The sequence below is a fragment of the Homo sapiens genome, chromosome 7 (genome assembly GCF_000001405.40).
Source record: "Homo sapiens chromosome 7, GRCh38.p14 Primary Assembly".
In the NCBI taxonomy this organism is placed as follows: domain Eukaryota; kingdom Metazoa; phylum Chordata; class Mammalia; order Primates; family Hominidae; genus Homo; species Homo sapiens.
The window spans coordinates 55529012-55543556 of NC_000007.14; the positions used below are offsets into that span (position 1 = coordinate 55529012).

Below are 14545 nucleotides of genomic sequence, written 5' to 3' on the forward strand. Positions count from 1 at the left end.
TTAAAATATCTCCCTACTGAAGCCTTCAATTCTGATGATAGAGGCTGTTGTGGCAAGAGACAAGGGACACATAAGAGTCCTCAATGGGCCGGGCACAGTGGCTCATGCCTGTAATCCCAGCACTTTGGGAGGCCAAGGCTGGCGGATCACAAGGTCAGGAGATGGAGACCATCCTGGCTAACACAGTGAAAACCCACCTCTACTAAAAATGGGCGTGGTGGCGCTCGCCTGTAGTCTCAGCTACTTGGGAGGCTGAGGCAGGAGAATCGCTTGAACCTGGGAGGCGGAGGTTACAGTGAGCTGAGATGGCGCCACTGCACTCCATCCTGGGTGACAGAGCAAGATTCCGTCTCAAAAAAAAAAAAAAAAAAAAAAAAAGAGTCCTCAATGAGTGCAAAAGACTGGATTCGCTGCAAGACCCAACACACATGTGCACCCAGGAGCTCCTACTCATGCCTGCTGAACAAAAGCGTTCTGAAAACTATGCTATCTTTTAAAACATAATTATCAATATAAATCACAATTCATGATACTTGAAGGATCAGGTGATCCAAGTTCTAGCTCAATTTACTTAGGTTTAGTTTATACACTATAAAATCACCCATTTTCAAGATATAGTTTGATGAGTTTTAGGAAATGTATACAGCTGTGCCTCCAACACCCCAATCCAGCTTCAGAACCTTTCCTTCACTTCAGAGAGTTCCCTCATGTTGTTCTGCAGTCAATTCCAACTCCTACCCCAGCGCCCCAAGCAATACTGATCTGCTTTCTATCTTTATCCATAGTCTTGCCTTTGCTATAAGGTTCAATTAAAGAAAATCATACAACTTACAGTCTCTTACGTCTGGATTGTATGTTGCTGCATATATCAGCAATTCATTCCTTTCTAGTGTTGAACAATATTCCATTCTATGAAGACACCACATTTTGTTTATCCATTCACCAGCCTATGGACATCTGGGTTGATACTGCATTTTGGCTGTTATCAATAATGCTGCCATATCCATTTGCACACAGGTCCTTGCATGGACAGATATCTTAATTTCTTGGGTACATACTAAGAAAAGTGGAATGGGTACGTACATTCCACTCCAAGACCTGGAGTGGAACTTCCAGGTCACACAGTAACTCCTTACCTAACTTGTTGAGAGACTGTCAAACTATTTTCCAAGGCAGCTGCACTACTTTACATTCCCATCAACAATGTAAGAGGGCTCCAGTCTCTCCACATCATCACTAACACTTATTATCTGTTTTTTGATATTAGCCATCTAGTACTGTACTGGTATCTCATCGTGATTTTAATTGGAATTTCCCTAATGACCAATGATGTAAGACTCTTTTCATTCCAGCTCAATCAGAAGGCAAAAAACAGTAGCTGCCATACATGGAATGCCTGTGATCCACTAGGTGCTTTTCATGTGAAATCTCACTTAACATTGTAACAACCCTGAGAGTTAGGTGGTTTACAAAAGAGCAAACTAAGGTCTCGAAGAGGTGAATTGACTTGCAAAGGTGACACAGGAGCAAGCTGAAAGTCGGCATTTGACTTCAGGTCTGTTGGTTTCCAAAGTCTGTGTGCTTTCTGTGGCAATGTCTACAAGCTGAAGTTTTCTGTGTCATCATAATCCACGACCCACCCTTTGGAATGTCTGTCACATCGTGTGCATGGAACAGGAATGAGATTTATTGTAGGCATTATTTTGCTGTATAGAAGAAAACTAAAATGACTGAATCCACATGAAAGACCCGATCTCCATGCCCCCAAAATAACCTTTTATGAGTTATTAGGAATTCTACCTTTCAGCATTCCTCACCTCTCAACACTGTCAATTACTGCATCTCCAGGAGCAGAAATCAAACACAAGTGTGTCCAGCAGCTTTGCTAAGGAAACTGTCTCTGCAATCAGCATGGCCAGCCCACCAGGAACAAACCACAAGAGAAAGGAAAGGAGCAAAGTCAAGGAGCCCAAAGCCCACCAGGGTGCAAACCATGAAGCATCCTTTCACTCTCAGAAATCACTTTTTAGATGCCAAAAATACTTAGAGGTGCCATTTTAGGCACAGAACTATATAAAATGAATATAAGGCCTGCAGCCAAAAGGGTTCATGTGACAAATTTTCCAAATGCCACAAAACATCATTCATTCAAAAAACTCATGAGTGGGAGACTTCATTAGAATAGCCTGAAAGCAGCGATAACAGATAGAAATATCAGTGCTACTGTTATCTGCTGGCAATAAATGAATATGATAAACCTTTGTTATCAGCTCAGTTCCAACAAAAGCAATGAACAGGACCAAACCTTTGAATGCTCTCCTTAAAGGCCTAATCCAGAATTTTTTTTTTTTTTTTTGAGAGGGAGTCTCGCTGTGTCGCCCATGCTGGAGTGCAGTGGTGCGATCTTGGCTCACTGCAACCTCTGCCTCCTGGGTTCAAGCGATTCTCTTGCCCCAGCCTCCCAAGTAGCTGGGATTACAGGCACGCGCCACCACACCCAACTAATTTTTTTGTATTTTTAGTAGAGATGGGGTTGCACCCTGTTGGCCAGGCTGGTCTCAAACCCCTGACCTCAGGGGATCCGCCCACCTCGGCCTCCCAAAGTGCTAGGATTACAGGCATGAGCCATCGCGCCCAGAAAAAGTCATCTTTTTTTGATGTAATTGCAGAGTGCAAGAGTAACATTATGAAAAAAAAGTCAACAGATCAGCTCTGCCACCTCCTAGTCTATGATTTGGGCACCCGGCTTTGATGATCTCATACATGTCTGAGAAGAGTAACAGGCTTGTTGTTTCCAACTACTATGCCCCCAAAATGAAATAACTGAGATATGTACCAAAAGACTACTCTCCTCCAGTTGGGCCTAAATCTTGGCCAGCAGATCCAAAACTCAACCACCACACTTAAGAGAAAATATCAACTTCTTACCTTTTGCAGACAGAAATGCCCAGAAAGATTAATAAGTGGAGCAGCTTCAAGGGCAAAATGCCAAAAAATGCATAAGGATTTTTGCATTTGGGTTGTGTACTACCCTACCTATTTGACTTCTATTTTAGAAGAAAAGTGTGTTGGATTCTCTGATGACATATATTTCTGTAAGTCTAGATTCTAACTGTAAAGAGCACAAGAAATTGAAAAGCTGAGATGTGACTAAAGTCTGACTAAAGGCTGAATAAATGATGGTGCCACCCACATTTAAAGACAATGTGACTTACTAGAATAAACACACACAGCACCTGCCGCATGCCTGCTTCTGTGCCTGAACAGTGACCCAACCATGGTCAGGTCACCGAAGGTCTCTAAGCTTTGGTTCTTTGTCTACAGACTGGAGAGAGGTATTTCTGTCTTGCCTTGAGGTTTACATGAAACAGTGTATGCGAACCACCTGGCGCATGCCCACTATTCTAAGAGCCTCCTGCTAAGTCGTTACATTGTGTGCTGTGTCGGTTTATTCTTGAGAATCATGGTCAAGTAAAGCTCAACCTAAAGATGCAGTTAACATTCTCTACAACGTACTTTTGTGTCTCTATGGAGAGTGAGAATATGGAACCTGTGATCCAAAATGAACCAGAAAAACAAACAAACAAAAAACAGAAGTTTAGAAACTACACTAGTTACAACCACCAGCTTGGAAATGATACCCTGGTGTGGAAAAATACAGCTCAAAGCAATCTGAGGGAGGCTCCTCCCCTTTCCATGGAAGTTTTCATGGCTTCTGGCACACCCTGTCAGCATTCTCTTCCCAGGAAGGTACTGGGAAGCACTGCCACGTGTACTCCTCTCATTCCTTTTCACTACTACCAAATTTCACACCCCCTCAATTCTAGTAATATGCATTTTCATTAAATCTGGTAATATTTAACCTGGAGTCAAAAAGCAATTTCTTGTGCTTAGAAGACTTTCTATTTCTTGTCATGAATTGATTGGTTATAAATGTTAAGGGACTAAGCTGTTACAGCAAATTTGGGGAGAAAGAGAGTCAGTTCCACGTGCTGCCCCAAAGCAGCATCTGTGTATCAGAAAATCTTCAGGGAGTCTCTGGCAGTGTGGAGGCCTAAGCTAAAACCAGGAGGACTGAGAACATATGTGCCAGGAAGGTGATTTTGATGCCAGTTCTGTCTCTCTCCTGAACCCAATCAACTCAATCATTTCTGTTTAACACAAACTCACATGAGTGCCTCCTAAAAGCTGGTTCAGTCAGCTGCCTCCAGGTCAGACCAGTGAGGATGGAGGCCGGTCACTCAGTGTTGTCTGTGGGTGCATGCAAGGGGCAGTGTGGTGCTCTTGAAAGGCAGTGCCCAAGGACAGCAGCAGAAATGCCCCTGCCTTCCCCACTCAGGAAGGGCATCACTGTCCACCCACAAGCAGCTTCCAGAGCCATCACTTATAAATATTTCTTCTCTCATTTAGATTTCCCTGTGCCAAGAAAAAAAAACAAAAACAAAAAAACACCTGCCTGCTCTGAGTCAGCCTCAGAGATGACCGTGGTTGACTGTGCTGTCTGCCATCTGCTTTTAACCACGAAAGAGGAAGCAGCTATGTGGGACACCACATCAGGGAACCTTCCGGACCTAGGGTCTCACTGCCTGGAAACTCCCCTGAGCCTCAGCTTCTTCAGATGGAAGGGACTCTGCTAACTCAAAGAACCCCTCATACTACCCACCAAAGGAAAGTCCCCATCAGGGAGACTAGCAAGGGAGGCTGAATGTAGAACAGCACTCAGGTTAATCCTAAATCCCTACCTGGCTTTCCCTCCTCAGTCATCAACATAGTGATGGGGTGAACTTCGATGATGTTGTCTGGGGACTGACCTTCATATCCTCTGATCCTCCCAGTCTTTTCTTCTTACCTTTTCTCGTACCCAGTGTGTGGTGGGTGGGTAGGGAGGTAGATGAGTGAAAACACCCACAGGAAGGAGGATGGCAAAACTCAGATCCAAAAGCAACAACTCTGCCTCAGTGTTGTAAATAAGCAACAGCTTTTCCACCCAAAACAACTCATTTGTGCAAGGTCACCAGCAAACTGTACAGCTGTCTCCCAGCCCTGTCAGCTATAATTTCTAATAGCTGTCACTGTGTCCTGGCTTGTTAAAATCCGTGAAGGAAATCATTTCATGTAGCTTTTTTTTTTTTTTTACGAGATGGAGAGAGAAAAGAATGGTAGCAGAGTAAAACAGCAAGTGCAAGCAGATGACAGAAATTTCTACAGACACTTAATAGACAGACATTCCTTAGGCCTAGTTCAAATATCTAAATTCCATCTGGGGACTTGGCTGTCAAAAGATAATCATCTCTTGCTTCATTTCTCATATAATTTCCTAAACCCTCGGGTCTCAGCTAGTGCAAGGTCCTGTCATGGTCACCTGTGGCTTGGGCCAATTCTCACTTCCCCTGAAGGGCAGCTGCGTGTAGGGAGCGGGGGCTGCCCAAAGTTTCACTCTGACTGGAGGTAAACTTAACATCATTTCTGCATTAGTCATTTAGAGCCCTGGGCTCAGTACTTTCCCCCAACTGGGTTTCTGCTTTTGAGCTCGCTCTGCAATTTCCCCAATTCTGACTCAATTCTCTCTGGGCCCAGGGAGCTGTCAACAGCCACTCCTCCCCACCCATTTCTCCAGCTGTAGCCCTCTTGCAGGTGTCCTGCCCACAAAAGAACACCAGCATACAACGCCATGCAGGGCCCACTCTGAGCTGGGGACCTTCTGCCAGTTGCCACCTGGGATCTCTGCCAGGTGCCCAGAAGAACCTCACACCAGACATCCCTACAGCTGAGCGCTGCTCCCACCCAGTGCTCTGGACTTTGGGGAAAGTACCACCGCCCACTAGCTCACCCCAGCCACATGCTGTCCCCAGTGCCTCCTGTCTTCCCACTCCATCCACGTGGTCAAGCCTTGTCTCTTCCCAGGACATTCCTGCCACACCACAAAGGAGGCTGGCATCAAAAGCCAGGGGGTGAGCTTGCTGATGGGAGAAGAGGAGAACAGGAAGACACAGTTGAAGAGTGGTAGAGCCTGCAGCACCTGCCCCAAGACCACTGCCACATCCAAGTCTGGCCGCATGGCCTCTAGTGCCAGGGCCTGGCTGGGGGACTCCTGACACTGCACCTGCCCCTAAACCTCTCAGCAGCCTTGACAAAGCTCAGGGGGCTACGCAGGGCTCTGTCATAGAGAATAGGAAAGGAGGGCACACAGCACACCAACTCCTGCTAGAAAATCTCCAGGGGCTCCCCATTCACTGTGGGTTTCTCTTTGCTTCCCCTTGAGGTCATAATTTTCTTTCTTCTGAATGCAATTTTATCTTCAGTGGGCTTCATTACACAAACAAGCAAAAAGAGTGGGGCTGACTGATCAGGGCAAAGCTCAGTGAGCTCAGAGGGCACTGGGGCAGGCTCCCCCTGGAAACCCTGCTGCCTCACTGAGGGTGAAGTACAGACCCCAGGGAGTGTCCTTCTGGCCTGGCCGCCCCCACATGCCATTGGCTCTTCCTGTCTCTGCCGCTCCTCCCAGTCCCCCGCCCCGCAGCCATTTCCATCCATGCACCTCTAGAGAACCCTAGGTCTATTCACTTCCATCTGGAAAACACTTCTTCAGAGTTTCCACCAACGGAGCCTCAGCCTCAGTGTCACTTGGATGAAAATTTTCGAGACTTCCAGAAGGTGAGTTGTTAGTTTTCCCCCTTGGGGCTCTGATTAAATTTAACTCTCAGCACTTCAGCTTACAAGGAATCTTCCCTTCCGTGAACTTATTTGGTCCTAATGAGACCATGGGAAGGAGTGGGCTGCCCTCAACCAGCAGACATGCTCAGCACTGTGTCTGCCATCCCAGGATGCAGTTGGGGCACTGTCCCTCTGTGCAGAGGCTGGGCAGGCAGACATCAACTTACCGCAGGTCTGAGACTATCTCCAAAGACAGTGTTCTTTCCTTGATGACGACCGACTCTTTCCTACACCTGACCCACACTCTGTGCCAAGCAAGGATCATGCACTCAGGGCCCTGGCTCCTCCTGCAGGGTTGGGTCTTCAGGAGCTCCTGAGGAGTAAGGGCCCTGCCTCGGCCACCCTGTTGGCCCCAGTGCCTGACCCAGGCCAAGCGTTCAGGAAACCTTTGGTGGAAACGCTCACATATCCACTTCCTTCTCTGCCTGCTCAAAAGTTGTACTTGGATTTGACTATACACCCTGAAGTATGGAGACTGGCCCTGACTGCCAGGATACATAGGCTGATTAAAACTCAAGCAAGGCCGGGCGTGGTGGCTCACGCCTGTAATCCCAGCACTTCGGGAGGCCAAGGCAGGCAGATCACCTGAGGTCAGGAGTCTAAGACCAACCTGGCCAACATGGTGAAACCCCGTCTCTACTAAAAATACAAAAATTAGCCCGGTGTGGTGGCGGGCGCCTGTAGTCCCAGCTACTCGGGAGGTTGAGGCAGGGGAATTGCTTGAACCCTGGAGGCAGAGGTTGCAGTGAGCCGAGATTGCACCACTGCTCTGCAGCCTGGGTGAGAGTGACACTCTGTCTCAAACAAAAAAACAAACTCAGGCAAGATTTACCACCATGAGGATAGAGAACTTAGGAGCACAATATGCTGATGGGGACAAAGAGAACTTCATTGTGTCTCTCAAAACATTTTCCAAGAGGAAGACGGGAGAGAATGAGGGCAGAGCACATGGCACGTGGCAGGACTGAACAATGACACTGATATAAAAACAACTCGTGTTCACACCAAGGAGCACTGGCCCAGGCACGGAGCGTGACCACAGGGGCGGCGTGCTGATCCTGGCTCAGGCAGCGCATCTGCCACACGGAAGGGCGCACCGTACCCAGTCTGGTTGAGGTGGGCACCCAGCCTCACTCAACAGGGCATTCAATGTAAGTGCCCACAAATGCAAGAGACAGTGAACAGAATGGCAGCCAGACCGCATGAAACGCAGAGCTCTTGAGGCACCACCAGGGGAAGGTGGGGCCTCCCTGGCCACAAAACCTGAGACTTCAAGTCATGTCTGAGAGGCTGAGAGGATTAAGGAAGGGGCTTTGGGGAGGGGCCAGACATTTTCTGACGAGAAACGCAATGCAGATGGTGAGTCCAAGATCTCTCGGCCTGACCTGTCTAATTCCCTGACCCTGGACTGTGCCTGCGTGGAAGGCTCTGCCCCTCCGTCCCGGCAGCACTGACCCTGCCCTGTCCCAACCAGGCCTGCATACCCTTCCTTCAGCTGAACACACATATTTTGTACCCCGAACACCCACAGCGTGCAGCAACATCTGGGAAGCCAAGCAGGAATCTCACTGACGTCTCTCACACACCTCAGCTGGCACTCTGCCCCCACTGCTGGCTCTGGAGCAAGCAGAGGCCAACAAGTCAGACCACTGATTTCGTGCTCCAGCCTTCTGGAGGTAACACATAACTGCCCACCATGCTCTTCTTTCCCAGAACTGAAGCCCAAACTCTGGGCCAGGCTTCACAGCAAACTGAACCACCAGCCGAGCAAGCACCTGAGCATGTGAGCCCGTCCTTCGCATTCTGTTAGGCGCAAGGATGCAGGCAGCGCACCTCCTCGCCAGCCAGTCGCCCACGGTCCTGTCACTGCTGGGTCACACGCAGCCCTCCAATACGGAGCACACATAAATAAAGCTCTGGCGCCCGCAGACCCTGCAGTATCCTCCTCTGTTGAGTGGTGAGAACATCTACCATGGAGGACGCTACAAGGATTCAAGAAGCCAGCGCTTGTGACAGTGTGAAAAGCAGGTCCGGCCCCCAGGCCCAGGCCACCAAGGAACATGCACTTCCCACAGCCCCCACTTCCCCTCCAACTTCCACTACTTCAAACCCATGAAAGGGGGAACTGCCCACAAAAGTTCATTCTCCCCCAAACCACTTACTAAGTGCCAAGTGGCCCCACCAGGCAGAGATGGAGGCCAGCGTGAATCTGGGCTGTCTCCTGCCCACCTGCCATTCCTCTCCACCAGCCAGCAAGGAGGCCCCAGGAGCCCCCATTCAGCTCACACACCCAGATCCAAACACTGCCTCCAGCCTGGCCCGACCACACTAAGCTGCCCTCTGCCTCTCCCACTTTAGGGCTTCGAGACACCTCTTTCACCAGCTGAACTGGTGGAAAACTTTTCCTGCTGATCCCCTCTAGAGACCGCTCTCATTGCAGAAGTGTTTCTGGAACACGAAGTATTGCAAAGTCAGTCTATTTTGCTACAAACCACTCTGAGTAGCGATTTGCAAACACCATCCCTTATGCAGTCCGCACTTAGGAACTCTCTTCTCCAACTGAGCTACACTCTCTGGTCCTTCTCTAGGTCCAGGTAAAGATGTAGCCAGTCCTTCCAGTCTGCAAAGCATTATGAAGCTGCAAAGAATATATCCAACATCTTATTCAGACTTATTCTTGAAATGAACAATGTTTCGTTCTTTGCTAACTTGATGCTCAAATACCCTCTCAAAATCTAAACACAAGCCCTTCCTGCCAGGCTACACAAACCACACAAAAAGAACAACCCTATGGTCCAAAGACTGAGGATTCCACAGTCCAACTGAGGATCACTGTAAACTGCTTTACATGGTTTAATAACAAACATAATAATCCATCTATACAAACCTGCAAGAGCACAGAAGACAGATACCCAAGAGTTTCGCTGAGCATTGTGTGTAATGACAAAAACAGCTACAAACTACTTAGCTGTTCATCAAGAGAGGGCGGATTAAAATGAGTCATGGCCATTCCTATAAAGGAACGCTTTCTAAGGGGAATGCTGTGGGTTTGAGCTGCTGATGAGGAAACATCTCCAAGCAACATTTCTTAAAAAAAAAAAAAAAAAGGAGAAACAAGATGCAGAACACTGTCTATAATATGATCCCATCTGTGTACTTTTAACCAAATATTTGGGTATACAATCTTAAAAAAAAAAGTTGCACAAGAAACTTATCAGAGAGGTATGCCTCTTTCTCTGTAGAGGGTCTAGGGTTGAGAAGGTATTGGGGAGGGAAAGGTTTCATTCCTTTTTGTTTCATTCCTTTAAAAAAAAAGGGGGGGGGGGAGGGGCGGGGTGCCGGGTGTGATGGCTCACGCCTGTAATCCCAGCACTTTGGGAGGCCGAGGCAAGCGGATCACCTGAGGTCAGGAGTTCAAGACCAGCCTGGGCAACATGGTGAAACCCCCTCCTCCACTAAAAATACAAAAATTAGCCGGGCATGGTGGCACACGTCTGTAATCCCAGCTACTCGGGAGGCTGAGGCAGGAGAATCGCTTGGACCCGGGAGGCGGAGGTTGCAGTGAGCTAAGATCACACCATTGCACTCCAGCCTGGGCGACATGAGCGAAACTTGATCCCCCCAACAATAACAAAAAAAGTACGTGTATTTATTGTATTTAAAAACTTAAAACCACCAAATCAATTATCTATGAGAAAAAGGAACAAGATCAACACATGAAATCCCCAGATGATTTAAGAATTCCATTCCACTTGGTACTCACCCCTTCATCCCAAAGATTCAACCAAACTGAATTCAGCTTCTCCCCATTGCTCTCTCCCTGCCTGTCCTTAAAACAAAACTAATGAGCTGTTAAAGGGCCACATGTGAGGCTGAAAGGGAAGGAAACAAAGCATGTGAATAATTCACAACTGGATCATCAGCCCCGCTGTGAGCTCAACAGCCCCTGACACGGATGGAGTTGAGTCCCTCTGGAGGTGGCATGCTGAAGGGAGACTGCCTTCCTGCGTGGACCTGGGACAGAGGTGGCCACAGGCAGGCTCAGTAAGTGGTTGCTGAACCAACTATATGGACAGGAACCAGGACTCAATGGAGAAACATGTTATATATACACACATACACGCATATTTGTCATACACACAACATAACAAACGGGCGCATAACATAAGCGCTGCACACACACACACACACACACACACACACACACACACACACAGCCTCCCAAATAAGGAAACAGCAGGAACACTCATGAATTAAGACAGATAATCCCCAACTTAGGGATGGTTTAAAATTTAGGGCTCATTTTCTCACGGAAATGATGGTATAAATGTTGGCGAACTTCCCTGGCTAGGTAACACATGTCTGTTTAGCTCATAAAATAAATGAACTCCCAGCCAGGCGCAGTGGCTCACGCCTGTAATCCCAGCACTTTGGGAGGCCGAGGAGGGTGGATCACGAGGTCAAGAGATCGAGACCATCCTGGCCAACACAGTGAAACCCTGTCTCCGCTAAAAATACAAAAATTAGCTGGGCATGGTGGTGCGTGCCTGTAGTCCCAGCTACCCGGGAGACTGAGGCAGGAGAATCACTTTAACCCTGGAGATGGATGTTGCAGTGAGCCGAGATCGCGCTACTGCACTCCAGCCTGGCGACAGAGTGAGACTCTGTCTCAAAAATAAATAAATAAATAAATAAATAAATAAATAAATAAATAAATAAAAATAAATGAACTCCCATTCCGTCCTTGTGTTTGATTGCCCCAGACTGTCTGCTGAGGAGACCCCATGTGCCCTCAGGGAGGCTGCCTGTTTAGACCTCTGGCCGTCACCAACATTGCTGTGCTTCTGTTCTCAGCAGCTTCAAGGGCTGACCTCCACCTGGTGCCCAGCCGAGTAAACACGTGGAGCATAAGTTCCATGTGTATGGACTCAGGGCTCCTCCAGACACCACGGGCGCTGCCCTCACAGAGCACTCACCTGCAGGCTGCTTCCCCTAAGTGTCAGGTCTTCACCTCCGCTGCGGCCTCAACGCAGGGAATTTACTATTGAATTCACCGCCAAGACAACACTGAGACAGAGTCGATGCCACAATTTTACGGCGTAGTTTATTTTTATGTCTGGCTTAGATCTCAAAAAGGGTCTGAGAAGGCTTACATAAATACCATTTTAAAATACAAGGAAAAAAACAACACCAAAAGCAAAAGTAATGAGAAAAAAATACATAAAGTGGACTACATTGAAACTTAAAATTCTTGGGCTGCAAACAATACCATAAAGTAAAACGACAACCCGCAGAAACGGGAAAAAAATACTTGCCCATTATCTAGCTGATAAGGAACGTATTTAAAGTCTTACCGCTCAATATCAAAAACAGAAGCCATTAAAAATGGGCAAAGGAGTGACTGCTAGTGGGTACAGGGTTTCTTTGTGAGGTGATGAAAATATTCTTGATTGTGGCAATACTTGCATAACTCTGTGAATATATGAAAAACTTCAGAATTGTACACTTTAAGTGGATGAATTATATGATACTTAAATTCTATCTTAATAAACATGTTATTTTTTAAATGGGCAAAGGATTTGGATACACATTTCTCCAAGGAAGATAATGCAAACAGCCAATAAACAAATGAAAAGAAGCTCAACAACATTAGTCATTAGGGAATTACAAGTAAAAATCACTGTGAAATACCACTTCACACCCACTAATATGACTATAATAAAAAAGACAGACAATAACAAGTATTGGCGAAAATGTGGAACATTTGACCCCTCATACATTGCTGTTGGGAACAGAATGGTGCAGCAGCTTTGAAAATCAGTCTAGCAGTTCCTCAAAAGGCTAAACAGTCATCACATAACCTAGCAATTCCACTTGTAGATATTTATCCAAGAGAAATGAAAACATATGCCCACAAAGACCTGTACACAAATGTTCACAGCAGCATTATTCACAATAGCCAAAAAGTGGAGACAATCCAAATGTCCATCAACTGCTGAATGGATAACCAAATGTGGTGTATCCGGTTATTTAGCAATGAAAATGAAGTACTGATTCATGCTATAACACAAGAGAAGCCCGTCCTAAGGGACCACGTTACATGATTCCATTTATATGACATGTCCAGAAAGAGTAAATTTAGAGACAGAGAGTAGATTAATGGTTGCTCAGGGCTTGGGTAGGGTGGGCCAGAATCAGGAGTGACTGCTAAAGGTACAAGATTTCTTCTAGGAGGAACAAAATATTCCAAAATTGGATTGTGATGATGGATGAAAAACCCTGTGACTCTATCAAAAATTAAATCATACAATATAGATGGGCGAGATGATGGCATGTGAACGACATCTCAACAAAGCTGTTTAAAAACATAAGACAAATCCAGCATGTATTTTTTTTAACAAATTTTATGGATTCCTAATAGTTGTACATATTTATGGGCTACACATGACATTTTGATACAAGCATACAATGTGTAATGATCAAATCAGAGTAACAGAAATATCTACCACCTCAAATATTTATCACTTCCTGTGTTGGGAACATTCCAAATTTTCTCTTCCAGCTATTTTGAAATATATAATTAATTTTTGTTAACTACAGTTGCTCTACTGTGCTACCGAACACCACATCTTATTCCTTCTAACTGTATTTTCATCCCCAACAATTAACTCCTCTCCATCCCCGTCTCCCCACTACCCTTTCCAGCCTCTGGTAACCACTCTTCTTTTCATTACCTTCATGAGATCAAATATTTTAGCTTCCACATATGATTAAGAACAGGCAGGCTGGCATGGTGGCTCATGCCTGTGATCCCAGCACTTTGGGAGGCCGAGGCGGGCAGATCACTTGAGGTCAGGAGTTCAAGACCAGCCTGGCCAACATGGTGAAGGCCCGTCTCTACTAAAAATACAAAGTTAGCCGGTCGTGGTGGTGCATGCCTACAATCCCAGCTACTTGGGAAGCTTTAGGCAGGAGAATCACTTGAACCCTAGAAGCAGAGGTTGCAGTGAACCGAGATCGTGCCATTGTACTCCAGCCTGGGAGACAGAGCGAGACTCCATCTCCAAGAAAAAAAAAAAAATACAGAACAGGCAATATTTGTTTTTCTGTGCCTGGCTTATTTCACTTAATGTTCTCCATATTGATCCACATTACTGCAACTAGCAGGATTTCATTCTTCTTTTTTGTTTTTTTATTTTTATTTTTTTGGAGACGAGTCTCGCTCTGTTGTCCAGGCTGGAGTGCAGTGGCGTGATCTTGGCTCACTGCAAGCTCCACCTCCCGGGTTCACACCATTCTCCTGCTTCAGCCTCTCGAGTAGCTGGGAATACAGGCACCTGCCACCACGCCCGGCTAATTTTTTGTGTTTTTAGTAGAGACAGGGTTTCACCGTGTTAGCCAGGATGGTCTCGATCTCCTGACCTCATGATCCGCCCATCTCAGCCTCCCAAAGTGCTGGGATTACAGGCATGAGCCACCGCACCCAGCCTAGGATTTTATTCTTTATTATGGCTTTATAATATTCCATTGTGTATATAAAACCACATTTTCCTTATCCATGTGTCCACTGATGGGCACTTAGGTGGATTCCTTATCTTGGCTATTAACAGTGCTGTAACAAACATGGGAGTACAAATATCTCTTCAATATGCTCATGTTCTTCCTTGGAGAAATGTGTGTCCAAATCCTTTGTCCATTTAAAATACCTGGCAATGAGATTGCTAGATCATAAGGTAGTTCCATATTCTTAGTTTTCTGAAGAGCCTCCATACTGCTCTCCATAGTACTAACTTACATTCCCACCACTAGTGTTTGAGAGGTCCCCTTTCGC

At 46.4% G+C, this 14545-nt stretch overlaps 1 protein-coding gene across 16 annotated transcripts in view, besides 10 other annotated features; it reads right to left on the bottom strand.

Annotated features, from left to right (window-relative positions):
* VOPP1 (VOPP1 WW domain binding protein) overlaps positions 1-14545 on the bottom strand; it is a 137539-nt gene that overhangs the window by 94048 nt on the left and 28946 nt on the right. For 2 of the 16 annotated variants that reach the window (XM_011515540.3, NM_001284283.2), the window contains exon 1: positions 9602-9656. The exons of 11 other annotated variants lie outside the window; for them this stretch is intronic. In XM_011515540.3, coding sequence (XP_011513842.1) covers positions 9602-9646 — 45 coding nt within the window. In that variant the 5' untranslated portion in view covers positions 9647-9656. Of the gene's footprint in view, positions 1-8489; positions 8706-9601; positions 9657-14545 lie in introns of those variants that run through there. 3 more of the 16 variants (XM_011515541.3, NM_001284284.1, NM_001321242.1) reach the window with 2 other exon arrangements.
* Positions 1340-1389: an enhancer, noted in NCBI's record as "active region_26025". NCBI's record gives its function as "activates an Ori minimal core promoter by ATAC-STARR-seq in GM12878 lymphoblastoid cells {active_cell/tissue: GM12878}" and the evidence as "EXISTENCE:reporter gene assay evidence [ECO:0000049][PMID:35858748]".
* Positions 3456-3515: an enhancer, noted in NCBI's record as "active region_26026". NCBI's record gives its function as "activates an Ori minimal core promoter by ATAC-STARR-seq in GM12878 lymphoblastoid cells {active_cell/tissue: GM12878}" and the evidence as "EXISTENCE:reporter gene assay evidence [ECO:0000049][PMID:35858748]".
* Positions 4586-4705: an enhancer, noted in NCBI's record as "active region_26027". NCBI's record gives its function as "activates an Ori minimal core promoter by ATAC-STARR-seq in GM12878 lymphoblastoid cells {active_cell/tissue: GM12878}" and the evidence as "EXISTENCE:reporter gene assay evidence [ECO:0000049][PMID:35858748]".
* Positions 4776-4845: an enhancer, noted in NCBI's record as "active region_26028". NCBI's record gives its function as "activates an Ori minimal core promoter by ATAC-STARR-seq in GM12878 lymphoblastoid cells {active_cell/tissue: GM12878}" and the evidence as "EXISTENCE:reporter gene assay evidence [ECO:0000049][PMID:35858748]".
* Positions 5186-5245: an enhancer, noted in NCBI's record as "active region_26029". NCBI's record gives its function as "activates an Ori minimal core promoter by ATAC-STARR-seq in GM12878 lymphoblastoid cells {active_cell/tissue: GM12878}" and the evidence as "EXISTENCE:reporter gene assay evidence [ECO:0000049][PMID:35858748]".
* Positions 5286-5895: an enhancer, noted in NCBI's record as "active region_26030". NCBI's record gives its function as "activates an Ori minimal core promoter by ATAC-STARR-seq in GM12878 lymphoblastoid cells {active_cell/tissue: GM12878}" and the evidence as "EXISTENCE:reporter gene assay evidence [ECO:0000049][PMID:35858748]".
* Positions 5916-6075: an enhancer, noted in NCBI's record as "active region_26031". NCBI's record gives its function as "activates an Ori minimal core promoter by ATAC-STARR-seq in GM12878 lymphoblastoid cells {active_cell/tissue: GM12878}" and the evidence as "EXISTENCE:reporter gene assay evidence [ECO:0000049][PMID:35858748]".
* Positions 6796-7125: an enhancer, noted in NCBI's record as "active region_26032". NCBI's record gives its function as "activates an Ori minimal core promoter by ATAC-STARR-seq in GM12878 lymphoblastoid cells {active_cell/tissue: GM12878}" and the evidence as "EXISTENCE:reporter gene assay evidence [ECO:0000049][PMID:35858748]".
* Positions 7736-7885: an enhancer, noted in NCBI's record as "active region_26033". NCBI's record gives its function as "activates an Ori minimal core promoter by ATAC-STARR-seq in GM12878 lymphoblastoid cells {active_cell/tissue: GM12878}" and the evidence as "EXISTENCE:reporter gene assay evidence [ECO:0000049][PMID:35858748]".
* Positions 10245-10877: an enhancer, noted in NCBI's record as "OCT4-NANOG hESC enhancer chr7:55606949-55607581 (GRCh37/hg19 assembly coordinates)". NCBI's record gives its function as "activates a minimal SCP1, AML or CMV promoter by ChIP-STARR-seq in primed H9 embryonic stem cells {active_cell/tissue: H9 hESC(primed)}" and the evidence as "EXISTENCE:reporter gene assay evidence [ECO:0000049][PMID:30033119]".